Consider the following 18928-nt stretch of genomic DNA (forward strand, 5'->3'; position numbering starts at 1 on the left):
AAATTAAGAAGAGTTTCAGTGTTTTTTTTGAGACATCTTTGGTTGGGGCACAGAGGAGAGCGCTATTTATATACTGTAAAGTTTTAACTTGAGGGTGAGAAAAATCAGAGGGATTTTTGGGCAGGGTCTGTTTCTGTAACTTCTTTATGATATTAGGGGCTGTTTGAGTAATAAATCTGTTCTTTATTGTATTGGTAGGCAGGGAGGTGTGTTTTATTAAAGCTTTTCTCAGCCCTTCCATAAAGGCTGAGGGATTTTTATCTGGATTTTTATTTAACATAGACAGTTTAGAGTAATTAAGATGTTTGGTTCTGTTTTTTGTAAGTCTTTTAATATGTATAATAGAAAGTGTTTTTTTTTTCTTTCATTCATCTATGGGATCACTAGGGCTCTAATTAGGATTTTCAAGGGGCACTGTTTCTCTTCCTATTGGGAATTGGGATCCTGTCTCTTTTTCACCTCTTTAATATTTTGACTGGGTTCTTTTTTTGACTGGTTATAGGAGGCATGTTCATCTCTGAATGTTCCTGTTGTCTGTAGGGTTGTCTGTTTCTTGGTAGTAGTTAGGGTTTGGCTTAGGAGTAGTATACTATTTCTCCATGTAAGATTAAACACTTGTATTAGATTTTGGAAAGCCTTTATATATCTATCAGGGTTATCAGAGAACTTTTCTAGGTCCCCCTTTATTTGTCTAAGGTCCTGTGATGAGAAGGGAACTTGAACCCTAGTAGTACTATGTCTGCTGGGCATTTCTTGTAGAGGTAACAGTGAATTTAGGGGTTTCTTGGGTAGCAAAACTGGAGGAGCTGATGATATGGCTATGGGGGCCTTGGATAAGGGGGGCAGGAAAGGCACCTAGAAGTTGTATTTGTCTCTGACTTTGGGGAATTATCTTTTGTAGTCTTGTCTGATATGGCTGTCAAGAGGGCAGGGTTAATTTTACAATGCTTATAAAGATTTGGGTTGTCTTGCAGGGCAAAGAAAGTTTGTATATAGGGAACCTTGGACCATTTGTCCTCCCATCTGTAGAAAAGATCTAGTTGTTGGATAGTGTTAGAATTAACACTTTTCTGAGAAGGCCAGGCCTCCTGTCTGTCTTGTAGTTGGTAAGATGACCACACCCTTGTGTAATAGAATATAAGTTGTTTTTTCTTCCAAGTCTCAGGGTCAAAGGAGTTCCAGTGTTTCAGAATGTACTTGAGAGGAGTGTAGACTGTAGATGGTTTGTTACCCATCTAGAAAGATACGAGAGACAAAGGCATCCCTTAGTCTTCTCTTTCCCTTCTGAGTGACCTAGGGTGGAGAGAAAGAGAGAAAGGGCATCTTCCTTCTCCTCTTCACTTCCTTGACCTCTGGGTCTTGGTAACCACCATAGGTTCCACCCGTGGATGAAAGTGTGATCTTCACCCATATATCTGGAGGACGTAGGTGGCAGCATTAGTCATGTGTTACTCATCTGTGTAAGGTCCTAGTTTTCCACTCTGCTGGTTTCCTAGACCCACTCAGCCTAAAAGGCTCCCAAGGTACCCCAGGGATCTGGGAGAGATTATGTTGTAGTTGGATTTGGGCAACAGTCTTTAATGGAGGGAGCGTCTAAACACTATCTCTGGCTTCCCTTGTTATGGTCCCAGGGAAACACTGGAATCCCAGAGAGTGGGACCAATTGACTTTTAAATATAAAATCCTTTTTTTGTTTAAATCACAATGTAGTTGGATGTAGAACAGGTGGCTCAAGAGAACATAAGGATTGAATAGCTGTCCTTCCTTTGATGGAGATAGTATAAAGGCTAAAATCTGTCTTGTCAGGATGGCTTCCTCCGGGCTATTGAAAGTGGAATTTTCTTGGCAAATGGGGTGTGGGGACTGATCACTGACAGAGGGACTTAAAAGAGAAAAGAATTGGGAAACAAGGTTTGGGGCAAAGGGTTGACAGGGCTCCCCATGGAGAAAAACCCCATCCCACTAGGTGGTCCTGTAAGGTCTGAAATGTTAGGTAAAAATTCTGACTAAATTCTTTTCAGGCAAAAGTTAAAAAGAGACGTCTGGGGCTTGATAAGCTGTCTCCACAGTATGTCTCTTAGTAGAAGAAAATTAACTTGTTTCATAGCAAGGCTGTCTAGTTCTGTTGGACAATGTTGGCTTTTCACATGGGAAAAGAAAGAGTTTAAATGAAGGGGGGATAATTGTCCTGGGAGAAATAACCCCTCATCTAACCCCATTGAGTGTTATCATTGGGAGATAAATAGGTCTCCAGATCCAGGTCTTGGAATTTCTTCATTTCAAGGAAACCACAGAGACAATAATTCACTGAATTGCGTTTCTGATTACTAAGGCACTGACTGACTTTACCCGACAAGACTATATCTCCAGGTTGTAAAAACACCCACATCATTGTACGCAAAGAAGGGATAGGCAACATGATAGTCGAGAAAAGCAAGGAAGAAAATGCAATAGAAAAGTCTGGAAGTCGTGATGCTGACACCCGATGGACTATCAGGGACTGGAATTAGCCCAGGGGCCTTCAGGTAACACCAAGGTGTAGCCTTGGCCAGAAGCCTTCAGTTGCCTCGGGACCTCCTTCCAGCCCCATGTGACAGCTAGGCCCTCTGTGAAAGGAAACTGGATTGGAACAGAGCCAACATTCCTAACAACTTACAGCGATGGGGATTGACAAATTCCTCTCCAGCAATCCTGTCCCCTGAGTCTTAAGGCTGGAAGCCACCCTATTAGTTTTTTAACTGGCTGACAGGGGCCCAGTGTTTTGTTTGTTTCTTGAGAAGAAAAAAAAAAAAACTGAGGACTAACCTCCAAAATGAAAGTAAAGAATTAAATGTCCACTCTTACCTTTTAGATGAATCCCTTTCTTTCCCAGCCAATGCACCAAAATATGTTGTAGTCCTGTCAGTGCATTAAAATATGTAGTAGTCTTTTGTTGTTTGAGATAGTATCTGAAGTTTTGTGTCTCACATCTAAGAGAATTAAGGAGTGTGGACACAAGCATGAGGTTGGAGTGAAAGTTTAATAAGTGAAAGAAAAAAGTTCTCCATAGTGGAGAGGGGGAGCCAAATGGGTTGTCCACTATGAAGCTGGGGTCTGGGGTTTTTATGTATTGGGAAGGGGAAGGAGTATGTTTAGTCTGTGGGCTGTCTTGGAGAAAGTGTGATTCAGTTTGGCCTGGAATCTTGACCTGGGACCAATCAAGAGTTGAAGTGATGATTCACAGGGGCTACTCAGTTTGGCCCAGGACCTATCAGCAGTTGAAGTGATGATTCGTAGAGGCCAGGCTCACAGTGCAAAAAGGAAAGGAAAGAGTCCACTGGACCCACCGTGTTCATGCCCACAAAAGGAGAAGAAAAGTTTTCCTGGGAGCCTGTTGATTATATAAAGGACAAAGGCATTTTTATGTCAGGCCTTCTTTCTTTATCTGAGGGGGTCGGAAGTTTTTGTAAGTTTTTATCTGAATGGGCTGGAGGTTCTCCTATCTGTGTAGCTATGGGCATGTCTCCAGGAACAACCACATGTGTTAGTTGCCTTATTGGTGCCCGCAGTTTGATTTTTTTCTCAGGCTGTTTTTTGTGTTATGTGGGGATGAGGCACTGACCTGTGGGTCAGGGGCTCTCCAGGGACCCATCCCTTGTTGTCTACCTAAGGCAAGTTAGTTAACTCCTCTCATCAGCCTCGGTCAAGCAGTAGAAAAATATTTGTCCTGGGTAAGAGAATGGCTCCATTTTGGTGCCTTAGTGACCATGCAGGGCAAATGCAAATTCGTCCAGTAGGCCACAGGGGAAAGACTTGAACTGCAGCTAAGTTGAGTCTTGGCAGAACACCTTGTGATTCTCCTAAAACATGAGAACATGGGATGCTTGAGGCCATCTCCCACTCTTCTTCCTACTTACCAAGGAGGCTGTCATGAGACAGTTTCTCATTGCCTTCTGAGTTTTGATAAGATATGAAGATTTCTGTCTTGCCCCCTTGGGGTACAACTGCAGGTTATAAAACTGCTTAACTGCTGCATAGCACTGGCTCCTCAGCAATAGGGTGTCCCACAACTCAAGATGCAAACTTCCAATGGCCCCCTCTGTTTTGGTTTTGGCTACCTTGGTGTGTAGGACCAGGACCATGGGGAGCTTGTTCCTTTGGCTACTCTTCCTTTCACTGTGTATGTATGTAGTAAACTTTCTAAATCTGAAAAGGGCTTGTTTCATATTTACTGGCAAAATTTGTCAGACCTGGCCTTGCCTTACTTGTCTGCTCAACACTGTATAGGTAGAGTGTATCTATTTTTTGCACCTTTCCTGAGAGGCCTTAACAAATATGATCATATTCTTTAAGCAAACAAATTTATGTATAGTTTATTGGGTCTTCATAATCACCATGACAATAAAGTATTAAACAGATATGAAAACTGAGACACAGAGGGGCTAATCAATTTTCTCAAAATCACAGTAAGCAGCTGAGCTCAGTCTAAATTCAGATGTGATTTCTAGTTCAGCGCTCAATGCTCTTGCTATTGCACGTTTATAGTATATATTACTGCTGTCAAGTTTGCTACATTTTCGATGACAGATAATTAAATGATCTAAGAATTGACCCATCGAGACAGAATCATTTCTCTGGTGTGGCAGCAAGCAGTGCTATGTAATAATCTGATAATACTCTTTATATAGTTTGGCATGTGTTTCTCTAAATGTATTACTATACTTTTCCACATTGAGGTTCATCTTACACTTTCTTGACCACTCATTGCTTGTTTCTGCAATTTTTCACTGCTGACTTGTCATAGTTTACTTGAATAAATCTACTGCAAAATTGGTATGTTCTCTGTCTTCCACGCCTTTTATAAAAGTATGAACTAAGATGGATCCTAGTACTGAATCCCAGGTTTTCCTACTCTGAAAAACAAAACTTCTATGATAAAATTTCTCCCTCCATCTTATATAGTGAACATGTTTTTAAAAGTGGTTATGAATGTGTATTCCAGTATTGTTTGTAATAATGAAAAATTATAAACACCTAAATATCCATCAATAGAGAATTGGATTAATAATGTGTCAACCACACAATGGAATACCATGTAGCTATTAAAAATAATAATGTAGATGCATAACTACTAATGTGAGTAAACAACTATTGTAAAATTTTCACATTAAAAATGTGAAATTTTCTGTCTATTGGGATGTGCATATGGCATCCTCCCAGTAAGTAGAAAAACAACAAGGAAAAACATCAAAAGTTTAAAAATGGTTTCTTGGGGTAGTGTGAATACAGGTAAGTTTAAAAATGAACGTGTGTTTTTATAATCAGAAAAAATCTATTTCCATTGTGAAAAAGTAAAAATGGTAAGAATTACCTTTGACGTAAAAACACATCAGCTGCTTTTCAAAAATTTCAATAATTTGGAGATTGCAAAATGTTGGACAGAAGGTTTTCTTTTAATTTTAATTAGTTGCCTGCATTTAAAGATGTGAGGGATCAAATACAAATCTAAATTTCCAGCTTTACTTGAATAATCAGAAGATCTGGACAACCATCACAGTCTCACATGGCAATTACTGCCTGAAACAGAGGGGTGGCTACTCCTGTCAGGTTCTCTTCAGTGAACCATAGTCTTTGCTTGGCAGCCAGTGCTCATGTGTGGTAACTGCCTTACCAAAGAAATGTTGACTTGCAGTTTTCCACAAGCCCTTTTGTCTTCTCCATCTTCTCTGTTGTCTAATCCCCCTTCCCAACTGTGGAGTAGAGAAATCATCTCACTTTCAGCTGTGCATATGTGAAGACAGAAGCATGTGTGCACTCCTGTGTAAGAAAGCGTCAAGAGTTAGGTGGGAGAAAGCACACACAAACATGTCATATTTCAAAACAAAGTGAGCCTGAGGTCTGTGTCAGTAGCCAAGGTACAGAGTCAGGGAAAGTGAGAAGAAGGAAATGCAGGTCAAAATAGGCAGGCAGGTTAGCCTTAGCAAAGGTCAGAAGAGAGGGTTATTACATCCTACCCGCAGCATGCAATATACCCATGCAACAAACCTGCATGTATATCCCCTGAATCTAAAATAAATGTTAACATTGTTTTTTTAAAGAAATATGTTTCCACTTGAAATATCATGCTGGTTTCTCTCCAATACGTAATGTTTGCTTAAGCATTAATGATAATACTTTAATCAGAATATTGAAAAAATAATATATATCCAAATTAAAGGTAAAAATATATACATACATAAAAATTTCACTATCACCCTTGCTCCTATACACCATTTCCCCCTGCTCTCTATAGCAGCACTGTCCAATAGAAATTTCTGATAATGAAATGTTCTATATTGGCACTGTCCAATACAGTAGCTAGCAGCCACAGGTGGCTATTTTAATTTAATTTTTTGAAATTAAAAAGTCACTTTCTCAGTTGCACTAGGCACATGTCAAGTGCTCAAGAGCCACACATGACTAGTGTCTACCATATTGGACAGCACAGCCTAATAGTTTATTGTTTATCTTTCCAGAGTTTCCGTATACAAATAAAAGCAAATTAATATTGGTTTTTATTTCAGATTCCATCCACTTTCCCATAATAGAAATCAAATTTACCAATCTTTGGTTTGCGAGATTCTTTCAGAAACAAGTCTTATGAATGTAAGACACCAGGCAATCTGACAATATGTTAGCACAGTGGCCATAAATTGACAGTAAGACATACATTTTGGCCAAAAGTTCTGCCTTAAAGCTCTGTGATTTTGAGCAAGTTACTTAATTTTTCTGGGTCTATTTCCTCATCTGTAAAATGGAAATAATGTTACCTATCTCATGGGTATTGTGAGGACTAAGTGAGGACGTAGATGTATAATTTAGAATGGTGCCTACCTTGTACATAGTGATAAATACAGGCCTATCTCATTTTATTGCACTTCACTCTATTGCACTTGGCAGATACTGTGTTTTTTATGAATTAAAGACTTGGAGCAATTCTGCATCAGACAAGTCTATCAGCGACATTTTTCCAACAGCATGTTCTCATTTTGTGTCTCTGTGTCACCTTTTGATAATTCTTGCAGTATTTCTAACTTTTTCACTATTATTATATCTGTTGCAGTGATCAGTGATCTTTGATGTTACCGTTGTAATTCTTTTGGGGTACCATGAACTGTGCCCATATAAGATGGCAGGCTAACTCAGGCCTCCCTATTCCCTGAGACACAACAATATTGAAATTAGGCTAATTAATAACCCTACGGTGGCCTCTAAGAGTTCAAGTGAAAGGAATAGTCACATGTCTCTCACTTTAAATCAAAAGCTAGAAATGATTAAGCTTAGTGAGGAAGGAAAGTTGAAAGCTAACATAGGCTAAAAGCTAGGCCTCTTGTACCAGACAGTCAGCCAAGTTGTGAACACAAGGGAAAAGTTTGTGGAGGAAATTGAAAGTGTTACTCCAGTGAACACGTGAATGATAAGAAAGCAAAACAGACTTACTGCCCATATGGAAAAAGTTTGAGTTGTCTCCATAGAAATTCAAACAAGCTACAACATTCCCTTAAGCCAAAGCCTAACCCAGAGCAGGGCCCTAATTCTCTTCAATTCTGCAGAGGTTGAGAGAGATAAGGAAGCTGCAGAAGAAAAGTTGGAAGCCAGCAGAGGCTGGTTCATGAGGTTCAAGGAAAGAAGCTATCTTCATAACATAAAAGTGCAAGGTGAAGTGGCAAGTGCTGATGTAAAAGTTGCAAAAAGTTATCTAGAAAATCTAGCTAAGATAATCGATGAAAGTGGCTACACAAAACAACAAATTTTCAATGCAGACAAAACAGCCTTATATTGGAATAAGACGCCATCTAGGACTTTCACAGATAGAGAGAAGTCAATGCCTGGCTTCAATGACTTAAAGGACAGGCTGACTTTCTTGTTAGAGGCTAATGCAGCTGGTGATTTTAATTCGAAGCCAATTCTTATTGACCATTCCGAAAATCCTTGGGCCCTTAAGAATTATGCCAAATCTATGCTGCCTGTGCTCTAGAAATGAAACAACAAAGCCTGGATGATAACACATTTGTTTACAGCATAATTTACTGAATATTTTAAGCCCACTACTGAGACCTACTGCTCAGAAAAAAAGATTCCTTTCAAAATATTATGGCTCATTGACAATGTACCTAGTCACCCAAGAGCCCTGATGAAGATATACAAGGAGGTTAATGTTGTTTTCATGCCTGCTAACACAGCATTCATTCTGTAGCCCATAGATCACGGTGTAACTTTGACTTTCAAGTCTTACTATTTAAGAAATACATTTCATAAGGCTATAGCTGCTGTAGATATTGATTCCTCTCATGGATCTGAGCAAAGAAAATTGAAAACCTCTGGAAAGGATTCACCATTCTAGATGCCATTAAGAACTTTCATGGTTTATGGGAGGAGGTCAAAATATCAACATTTACAGGAGTTTGGAAGAAGTTGATTCGAACTCTCATGGATAACTTTGAGGGGTTCAAGACTTCAGTGGAGAAAGTCACTGCAGATGTGGTGGAAATAGCAAGAGAACTAGAATTAGAAGTGTAGCCTGAAGATGTGGCAGAATTGCTGCAATCTCTTGATAAATCTTGAATGGATGAGGAGTTGTTTCTTTTTTAAAAATTATTATTATACATTAAGTTCTAGGGTACATCTGCACAACATGCAGGTTTGTTACATAGGCATACATGTGCCATGTTGGTTTGCTGCACCCATCAACTCATCATTTACATTAGGTATTTCTCCTAATGCTATCCCTCCCCCAGCTCCCCATCACCTGACTGGCCCCAGTGTGTGATGATCCCTTCCCTGTGTCCATGTGTTATCATTGTGCAACTCCCACCTATGAGTGAGAACATGCGGTGTTTGGTTTTCTGTCCTTGTGATAGTTTGCTGAGAATGAGAGTTTCCAACTTCGTCCATTAACCTGCAAAGGACATGAACTCATCCATTTTTATGGCTGCATAGTATTCAATGGTGTATATGTGCCACATTTTCTTAATCCAATCTATCACTGATGGACATTTGGGTTGGTTCCAAGTCTTTGCTATTGTGAATAGTGCCACAATAAACATATGTGTGCATGTGTCTTTATCATAGAATGATTTACAATCCTTTGGGTATATGCCCAGTAATGGGATTGCTGGGTTAAATGGTATTTCTAGTTCTAGATCCTTGCCACACTGTCTTCCACAATGGTTGAACTAATTTTCACTCCCACCAACAGTGTAAAAGCATTCCTATTTCTCCACATCCTCTCCAGCATCTGTTGCTTCCTGACTTTTTAATGATCTCCATTCTAACTGGCATGAGATGGTAACTCATTGTTTTTGATTTGCATTTCTCTGATGACCAGTGATGATGAGCATTTTTTCATATGTCTGTTGGCTGCATAAATGTCTTCTTTTGAGAAGTGTCTGTTCATATCCTTTGCCCACTTTTTGATGGGGTTGTTTTTTCTTGTAAATTTGTTTAAGGTCTTTGTAGATTCTGGATATTAGCCCTTTGTCAGGTGGGTAGATTGCAAAAATTTTCTCCCATTCTGTAGGTTGCCTGTTCACTCCGATGATAGTTTATTTTGCTGTGCAGAAGCTCTTTAGTTTAATTAGATCCCATTTGTCAATTTTGGCTTTTGTTGCCATTGCCTTTGGTGTTTTAGTCATGAAGTCTTTGCCCATGCCTATGTCCTGAATGGTATTGCCTAGGTTTTCTTCTAGGGTTTTTATGGTGTTAGGTCTTACATTTAAATCTTTAATCCGTCTTGAGTTAAATTTTGTATACAGTGTAATGAAGGGATCCAGTTTCAGCTTTCTACATATGGCTAGCCAGTTTTCCGAGCACCATTTATTAAATAGGGAATCTTTTCCCCATTTCTTGTTTTTGTCACATTTGTGAAAGATCAGATAGTTGTAGATATGTGGCATTATTTCTGAGGGCTCTGTTTGGTTCCTTTGGTTTATATATCTGTTTTGGTACCAGTACCATGCTGTTTTGGTTACTGTAACCTTGCAGTATAGTTTGAAGTCAGGTAGCGTGATGCCTCCAGCTTTGTTCTTTTTGCTTAGGAGTGTCTTGGCTATGCGGGCTCCTTTTTGGTTCCATATGAACTTTAAAGTAGTTTTTTCCAATTCTGTGAAGAAAGTCACTGGTAGCTTGATGGGGATAGCATTGAATCTATAAATTACTTTGGGCAGTAAGGCTATTTTCACAATATTGGTTCTTCCTATCCATGAGCATGGGGGAGTGGTTTCTTATGGATGAGCAAAGTAGCTTCTTGAGATGGCATCTACTCTTGGTGAAGGTGCTGTGAATAGTGTTGAAATGACAACAAAGGATTTAGAATATTACATAAATTTAGTTGATAAAACAGTGTCAGGGTTTGAAAGCACTGACTCCAATTTTGAAAGAAGTTCTACTGTAGGTAAATGCTATTAAACAGCATCACATGCCACAGAGAAATCTTTCATGAAAGGAAGAGTCAATTGATGTGGCCAACTTCATTGCTGTTTTATTTTAAGAAATTGCCACAGCCACCCCAACCATCAGCAACTGCCATCCTTATCAGTCAGCAACCATCAACATCAAAGGAAGACCCTCCTCCACCAGTAAGATTACAACTCATTAAAGGCTCAGATGATCATTAGCATTTTTTAGCAGCAAAGTATTTTTAAATTAAGTTACATATGTTTTTTAGAATAATGCTATTGTATACTTAAGAGACTACAGTATAGTGTAAATATAACTTTTATATATACTAGGAAACCAAAAAATTTGTGTTACTGACTTTATTGTGATAATTTACTTCATTGCAGTCGTCTGGAACTGAACCCACAATATGTTCAAGGTATGTGTGTATTTGAAGGTTGATGAGGCTAGATTTGTTGGAGTATGTGTTGGGGGATAGGGATGGGTTGGGGAATAAAAGCCAAACTTCAATCATTTGAGGAGTGAGTGGGTGATGAGAAATGGACATATAAACAGAGTACTCTTTCAAAGAAGTTTGAATTAAAAACAGAAAATGGATACTGGTCAGTGAGTAGCAAAAGTGAGGTGTGGTATCACAGGAGAGTTTTTTAAGACTGGATATCTAAGAATGTTTCAGAGGTATCCAATAATAGTGGTAGAATCTCAACTAATGATATTGTTGTTATATTACTCTCATCATCACTATACCTCTACCATACTAATTTCCATAAAATACACATTTTATCTCCCCACTTCACTGGATAAACTCTAAATTCCTCTGCTTGGGATGTAGGGTCTTCCATAAAGGTAGCATACCATCTAGCTTTATCATTTATATGCTTCATAACATTGGGCAGCTTGCTTAATTTCTCTGAGACCTAATTTCCTCATCTGTAAATTGAAATGGCCCACACTTAACCTTAGCAGGATACAGAAAGATAACTTGGGGCTTCTTTCTAACCTCACTCCTGATAGTCCTTGAAGAAGACCCAGCTTCCATGAGACTTGTTTTTAATTCCTACTGCAGAGAGGTGCTGGAGTTTGCTAGTTCTCTGTGTATGCTGAGCAATTAAATGCTGCCTCTTAATCAAATGCTGATTGCATATTTATTTCATTTTGGTGTTGGAAATCCAAAGCAACATCAATGGGTTACATTTCATGAGAACTTGCTAAATTTTGTGAGATGTGTAGACATTTATTTTTTATTTTTATTCTTTTCTTGAGACAGGGTCTCATTCTGTCTGCCAGGCTGGAATGCAGTGGCACAATCATGGCTTACTGCAGCCTCAAACTCCTGGGCTCCAGCAATCCTCCTGTCTAGTTTCCTGAGTAGCTGTGACTACAAGTGTGCACTACCACATCTGGCTACTTTTTCAATTTTTTTGTAGAGACAGTGCCTTGCTATGTTGCCCAGGATGATCTTGAACTCCTGGGCTCAAGCGATCCTCTCACCTTGACCTCCCAAAGTGCTGGGATTATAGGGGTCAGCCACCGTGTTCAGACTACACGTTTATTTTTAATCTAACAAACACATAATGCTTACACTAGGATTGTTTCCAAGGAACACTTAATATATACTAGAATGTTTCTAAGCACTCCAAAGGTATTAACTCATACAACCCTCATAATAATCCCACTTACAGGTGGGAAAATTAAGGCACATAAAGGTTAAGTAAGTTGCTCAACATCACTTAGCTGGTAAGTGGTAGAGCTTGGATTTGAAACCAGGGCATCTAGCTTTAGATTTTGTGCACCCCATCACTACACTATAATGCACCTCACTTAAGCTTAACAACAACCCAGTGAAGCAGGTACTGTTATTATTCTTATTTTACCCTGAGACTCAGAGAAATTAGGTTACTTGCCTAAAGTCACATGGCTAGTAAGTGGTGGGTGAGGTTTGAACCAGGTTTGTCTGATTCCTAGGCATTTTGACAACATGTTAACTAGTCATTCCACTAACAGTTTGATCCTTTTTTGCCATATGTGCATATCACCCATACAATTATTTATTTAAGAAAGCTATTTTAATTAACTGATTTTAAATAACTTTTTTGTATTTTGTAAGCAATAATATCTATGGTTTCACAGATAACATGTTATTGACATATTTTTAATTAAACGGCATAAACTGTTTTTAAAAATCTGTGTACCTCCGTGGACATAGAGCGTGGAATAATAAACATTGGAGACTTGGAAAGGTGGGAGGAGGGTGAAGGATCAGAAATTGCTTAATGGGTACAATGTACACTATTTGGGTGATGGTTACACTGAAGGCCTGGACTTCACCACTGTGCAATATATCCATGTAACAAAACTGCACCTGTACCTCTTATATTTATACAAATAAAAAATTCCTTACAAGTCTGTGTACCACTTAAAACTATCTCATGTACCTGAAGAGGCATGTACACCACATTTTGGGTATTGCATCATATTACACTTTTAACCCATAGCCCACTCTTCATCTCCAAAGTTCTGTTCAAACCCCTTTTCCCAAAAATCACATGGGCTATTAGTTTCTCTTCTGGAGTCAAGGAAAGAAAATATCTTTAGTGGAGTACCTAGACTGGTCAAAACCCAGTGATTAGGATAATACGTGCATTCCAATGGATGCTGGTAATATTTTGCGGTTGGAGGTGGGGGAGCAGTGCAGGAGAATCATTCATCATACAAACAGAGCCAATAAAAACATTATTCAAATATTTACAAATGTTTCACTTGTACTGCAACATGCTGCCGTCCTAGAAGGGAGCAAAACAGGCTTGGTCCACTCTACTTATTCAAATTATCTGCTTGGCTTTGTAGATCTTTTCAGGACATATCTGTACTGCCACGTTCATTGTGGCTTTATTCACAATGGCAAACTCAGTGCTCATAGATGTATGAATTGATAAAAAGTTGTGACATCTATATCTGTATATAGACATAGACATATACACACACATTAAGATATTATTTGACCTTAGAAAAGAAGGGTATAATGCCATTATGACAATATGGATGAACCTGGAGGATAAACCTCCAGGTTTATTAAGTGAAATAAGCCAATAACAGAAAGAAAAATGCTGTATCTCACTTATACGTAAGATCTAAGAAAAAAAGTCAAACACACAGAAATAGAGTAGAAGGGTGGTTAGCAGGTGTGGAGGGGGGGTGGCAGGAAATGGGGAGATGTAAATTAAAGAATGCAAATTTGTAGTTTTGCAGGATAAATAAATTTAGAGATTTCTACAAGAGTAGAGCTGTAGTTAATAATATTGTATTGTATGTTAAAAATTTGCTAAGAGAATAGATTTTATGTGCTCTCATCACACACACACACACACGGACAAACACAAAGGTAATAAACTAATAACAGACTAAACTGTGAGACTTCCAGAGCTTACTCGAACCAACCAATCAGAACTCACACACACAAAGGTAAGAGACTAATAACAGAACAAACTGTGAAACTTCCAGAGCTCACTTGAACCAACCAATCAGAGCTCACGGGCCTCAACCAACCAAGGCTCAACTGTCTCGACTAATCAGGGCTCAGTTCTATCATCCATCAAAACTAAATGAGTCAGAATCCTTCATTTTGCACAAACCTACCTGAAAGGGAACCTGGGAAGGAAATTTTGCTATAAAACTTGAATTCTTCCTTTCTTCTTTGGAACACATCTTTATTTTACATCAAAGGCTGTGTCTCTGTGGTTTGCCAACTATAAAATGGAACCTAGTTGCTCTCTTACAAATTGCTTTACAGATAACTTTTTTTTTTCAAAATGTCATTTACAGGTTCCTACATTATTATAAAAGGGTTATTTAATTTTATTTTTAAACAGTGAGTGGAATATTTAAGAAAACTGATGAAATATTGGGCATTGAAGCAAATCAACAAATTTCAAGAATAGATTCACAAAGTTTATTTCCTTTCCACAGAGGTAAAAAACTACAAATCAATTATTTAAAAATGGAAAATCTCCAACTGCTTTGAGATAAAGCAATACATGTATATAATAATAAATCAACAAAAAGTACTAGGGCCATGAAGAAAACACAGTGGAAATTAGAAAACATTAAAATAAATATTAACATTCAAGTTGCTTGAGCAAAAAGCAGTCATCCTAATTTTTTTTAATTGCCTACCTTTCTCCTGTTTCTTTTTCTTTTTTCTTTTTTTTTAGTTTTGATATTTATTGCACACTAGGGTGGCTGTAGTCAATAATAATGTATCATAGATTTCAAACTAACTAATAACATATTATATATTTTGAATGTCTCATCAGCATAAACAATAGGTAAGTGAACAACAGGTGATAGATACGTCAATCAGCTTTTGTTTTTGTCTTTATTTATTTATTTATTTTTATTACACTTTAAGTTTTAGGGTACATGTGCACAACGTGCAGGTTTGTTACATATATATACATGTGCCATGTTGGTGTGCTGCACCCATTAACTTGTCATTTAACATTAGGTATATCTCCCAATGCTACCCCTCCACCCTCCCCCACCACACAACAGGCCCTGGTGTGTGATGTTCCCCTTCCTGTGTCCAAGTGTTCTCACTGTTCAATTCCCACCTATGAGTGAGAACATGTGGTGTTTGGTTTTTTGTCCTTGTGATAGTTTGCTGAGAATGATGGTTTCCAGCTTCATCCATGTCCCTACAAAGGACATGAACTCATCATTTTTTATGGCTGCATAGTATTCCATGGTGTATATGTGCCACATTTTCTTTTCTTTTTTTTTTTTTAATTATACTTTAAGTTTTAGGGTACATGTGCACATTGTGCAGGTTAGTTACATATCTATACATGTGCCATGCTGGTGCGCTGCACCCACTAACTCGTCGTCTAGCATTAGGTATATCTCCCAATGCTATCCCTCCCCCCTCCCCCCTCCCCACCACAGTCCCCAGAGTGTGATATTCCCCTTCCTGTGTCCATGTGATCTCATTGTTCAATTCCCACCTATGAGTGAGAATATGCGGTGTTTGGTTTTTTGTTCTTGCGATAGTTTACTGAGAATGATGGTTTCCAATTTCATCCATCTCCCTACAAAGGACATGAACTCATCATTTTTTATGGCTGCATAGTATTCCATGGTGTATATGAGCCACATTTTCTTAATCCAGTCTATCATTGTTGGACATTTGGGTTGGTTCCAAGTCTTTGCTATTGTGAATAATGCCGCAATAAACATACGTGTGCATGTGTCTTTATAGCAGCATGATTTATAGTCATTTGGGTATATACCCAGTAATGGGATGGCTGGGTCAAATGGTATTTCTAGTTCTAGATCCCTGAGGAATCGCCACACTGACTTCCACAATGGTTGAACTAGTTTACAGTCCCACCAACAGTGTAAAAGTGTTCCTATTTCTCCACATCCTCTCCAGCACCTGTTGTTTCCTGACTTGTTAATGATTGACATTCTAACTGGTGTGAGATGATATCTCATAGTGGTTTTGATTTGCATTTCTCTGATGGCCAGTGATGATGAGCATTTTTTCATGTGTTTTTTGGCTGCATAAATGTCTTCTTTTGAGAAGTGTCTGTTCATGTCCTTCGCCCAATTTTTGATGGGGTTGTTTGTTTTTTTCTTGTAAATTTGTTTGAGTTCATTGTAGATTCTGGATATTAGCCCTTTGTCAGATGAGTAGGTTGCGAAAATTTTCTTCCATGTTGTAGGTTGCCTGTTCACTCTGATGGTAGTTTCTTTTGCTGTGCAGAAGCTCTTTAGTTTAATTAGATCCCATTTGTCAATTTTGGCTTTTGTTGCCATTGCTTTTGGTGTTTTGGACATGAAGTCCTTGCCCACGCCTATGTCCTGAATGGTAATGCCTAGGTTTTCTTCTAGGGTTTTTATGGTTTTAGGTCTAACTTTTAAATCTTTAATCCATCTTGAATTGATTTTTATATAAGGTGTAAGGAAGGGATCCAGTTTCAGCTTTCTACATATGGCTAGCCAGTTTTCCCAGCACCATTTATTAAATAGGGAATCCTTTCCCCATTGCTTGTTTTTCTCAGGTTTGTCAAAGATCAGATAGTTGTAGATATGTGGCGTTATTTCTGAGGGCTGTGTTCTGTTCCATTGATCTATATCTCTGTTTTGGTACCAGTACCATGCTGTTTTGGTTACTGTAGCCTTGTAGTATAGTTTGAAGTCAGGTAGTGTGATGCCTCCAGCTTTGTTCTTTTGGCTTAGGATTGACTTGGCAATGCGGGCTCTTTTTTGGTTCCATATGAACTTTAAAGTAGTTTTTTCCAATTCTGTGAAGAAGGTCATTGGTAGCTTGATGGGGATGGCATTGAATCTATAAATTACCTTGGGCAGTATGGCCATTTTCACGATATTGATTCTTCCTACCCATGAGCATGGAATGTTCTTCCATTTCTTTGTATCCTCTTTTATTTCCTTGAGCAGTGGTTTGTAGTTCTCCTTGAAGAGGTCCTTCACATCCCTTGTAAGTTGGATTCCTAGGTATTTTATTCTCTTTGAAGCAATTGTGAATGGGAGTTCACTCATGATTTGGCTCTCTGTTTGTCTGTTGTTGGTGTATAGGAATGCTTGTGATTTTTGTACATTGATTTTGTATCCTGAGACTTTGCTGAAGTTGCTTATCAGCTTAAGGAGATTTTGGGCTGAGATGATGGGGTTTTCTAGATAAACAATCATGTCGTCTGCAAACATGGACAATTTGACTTCCTCTTTTCCTAATTGAATACCCTTTATTTCCTTCTCCTGCCTGATTGCCCTGGCCAGAACTTCCAACACTATGTTGAATAGGAGCGGTGAGAGAGGGCATCCCTGTCTTGTGCCAGTTTTCAAAGGGAATGCTTCCAGTTTTTGCCCATTCAGTATGATATTGGCTGTGGGTTTGTCATAGATAGCTCTTATTATTTTGAAATACATCCCATCAATACCTAATTTATTGAGAGTTTTTAGCATGAAGGGTTGTTGAATTTTGTCAAAGGCTTTTTCTGCATCTATTGAGATAATCATGTGGTTTTTGTCTTTGGCTCTGTTTATATGCTCGATTACATTTATTGATTTGCGTATATTGAACCAGCCTTGCATCCCAGGGATGAAGCCCACTTGATCATGGTGGATAAGCTTTTTGATGTGCTGCTGGATTCGGTTTGCCAGTATTTTATTGAGGATTTTTGCATCAATGTTCATCAAGGATTTTGGTCTAAAATTCTCTTTTTTGGTTGTGTCTCTGCCCAGCTTTGGTATCAGGATGATGCTGGCCTCATAAAATGAGTTAGGGAGGATTCCCTCTTTTTCTATTGATTGGAATAGTTTCAGAAGGAATGGTACCAGTTCCTCCTTGTACCTCTGGTAGAATTCGGCTGTGAATCCATCTGGTCCTGGACTCTTTTTGGTTGGTAAGCTATTGATTATTGCCACAATTTCAGCTCCTGTTATTGGTCTATTCAGAGATTCAACTTCTTCCTGGTTTAGTCTTGGGAGAGTGTATGTGTCGAGGAATGTATCCATTTCTTCTAGATTTTCTAGTTTATTTGCGTAGAGGTGTTTGTAGTATTCTCTGATGGTAGTTTGTATTTCTGTGGGATCGGTGGTGATATCCCCTTTATCATTTTTTATTGTGTCTATTTGATTCTTCTCTCTTTTTTTCTTTATTAGTCTTACTAGCGGTCTATCAATTTTGTTGATCCTTTCAAAAAACCAGCTCCTGGATTCATTGATTTTTTGAAGGGTTTTTTGTGTCTCTATTTCCTTCAGTTCTGCTCTGATTTTAGTTATTTCTTGCCTTCTGCTAGCTTTTGAATGTGTTTGCTCTTGCTTCTCTAGTTCTTTTAATTGTGATGTTAGGGTGTCAATTTTGGATCTTTCCTGCTTTCTCTTGTGGGCATTTAGTGCTATAAATTTCCCTCTACACACTGCTTTGAATGCGTCCCAGAGATTCTGGTATGTTGTGTCTTTGTTCTCGTTGGTTTCAAAGAACTTCTTTATTTCTGCCTTCATTTCGTTATGTACCCAGTAGTCATTCAGGAGCAGGTTGTTCAGTTTCCATGTAGTTGAGCGGCTTTGAGTGAGATTCTTTATCCTGAGTTCTAGTTTGATTGCACGGTGGTCTGAGAGATAGTTTGTTATAATTTCTGTTCTTTTCCATTTGCTGAGGAGTGCTTTACTTCCAACTATGTGGTCAATTTTGGAATAGGTGTGGTGTGGTGCTGAAAAAAATGTATATTCTGTTGATTTGGGGTGGAGAGTTCTGTAGATGTCTATTAGGTCTGCTTGGTGCAGAGCTGAGTTCAATTCCTGGGTATCTTTGTTGACTTTCTGTCTCGTTGATCTGTCTAATGTTGACAGTGGGGTGTTAAAGTCTCCCATTATTAATGTGTGGGAGTCTAAGTCTCTTTGTAGGTCACTCAGGACTTGCTTTATGAATCTGGGTGCTCCTGTATTGGGTGCATATATATTTAGGATAGTTAGCTCCTCTTGTTGAATTGAT

The 18928-nt window shown here is 38.5% G+C and overlaps 1 long non-coding RNA gene across 1 annotated transcript in view; it reads right to left on the reverse strand.

Moving 5' to 3' along the window:
- Nucleotides 1-5427: 5427 nt before the first annotated feature.
- Nucleotides 5428-18928, reverse strand: part of TMSB15B-AS1 (TMSB15B antisense RNA 1) — a 37802-nt gene continuing 24301 nt past the window's right edge. The window contains exon 5 of the long non-coding RNA NR_146557.1: nucleotides 5428-5796. This is a non-coding gene — a long non-coding RNA (TMSB15B antisense RNA 1). The remainder of the gene's footprint in view (nucleotides 5797-18928) is intronic.

Source organism: Homo sapiens, chromosome X (genome assembly GCF_000001405.40).
Source record: "Homo sapiens chromosome X, GRCh38.p14 Primary Assembly".
Lineage (NCBI taxonomy): Eukaryota > Metazoa > Chordata > Mammalia > Primates > Hominidae > Homo > Homo sapiens.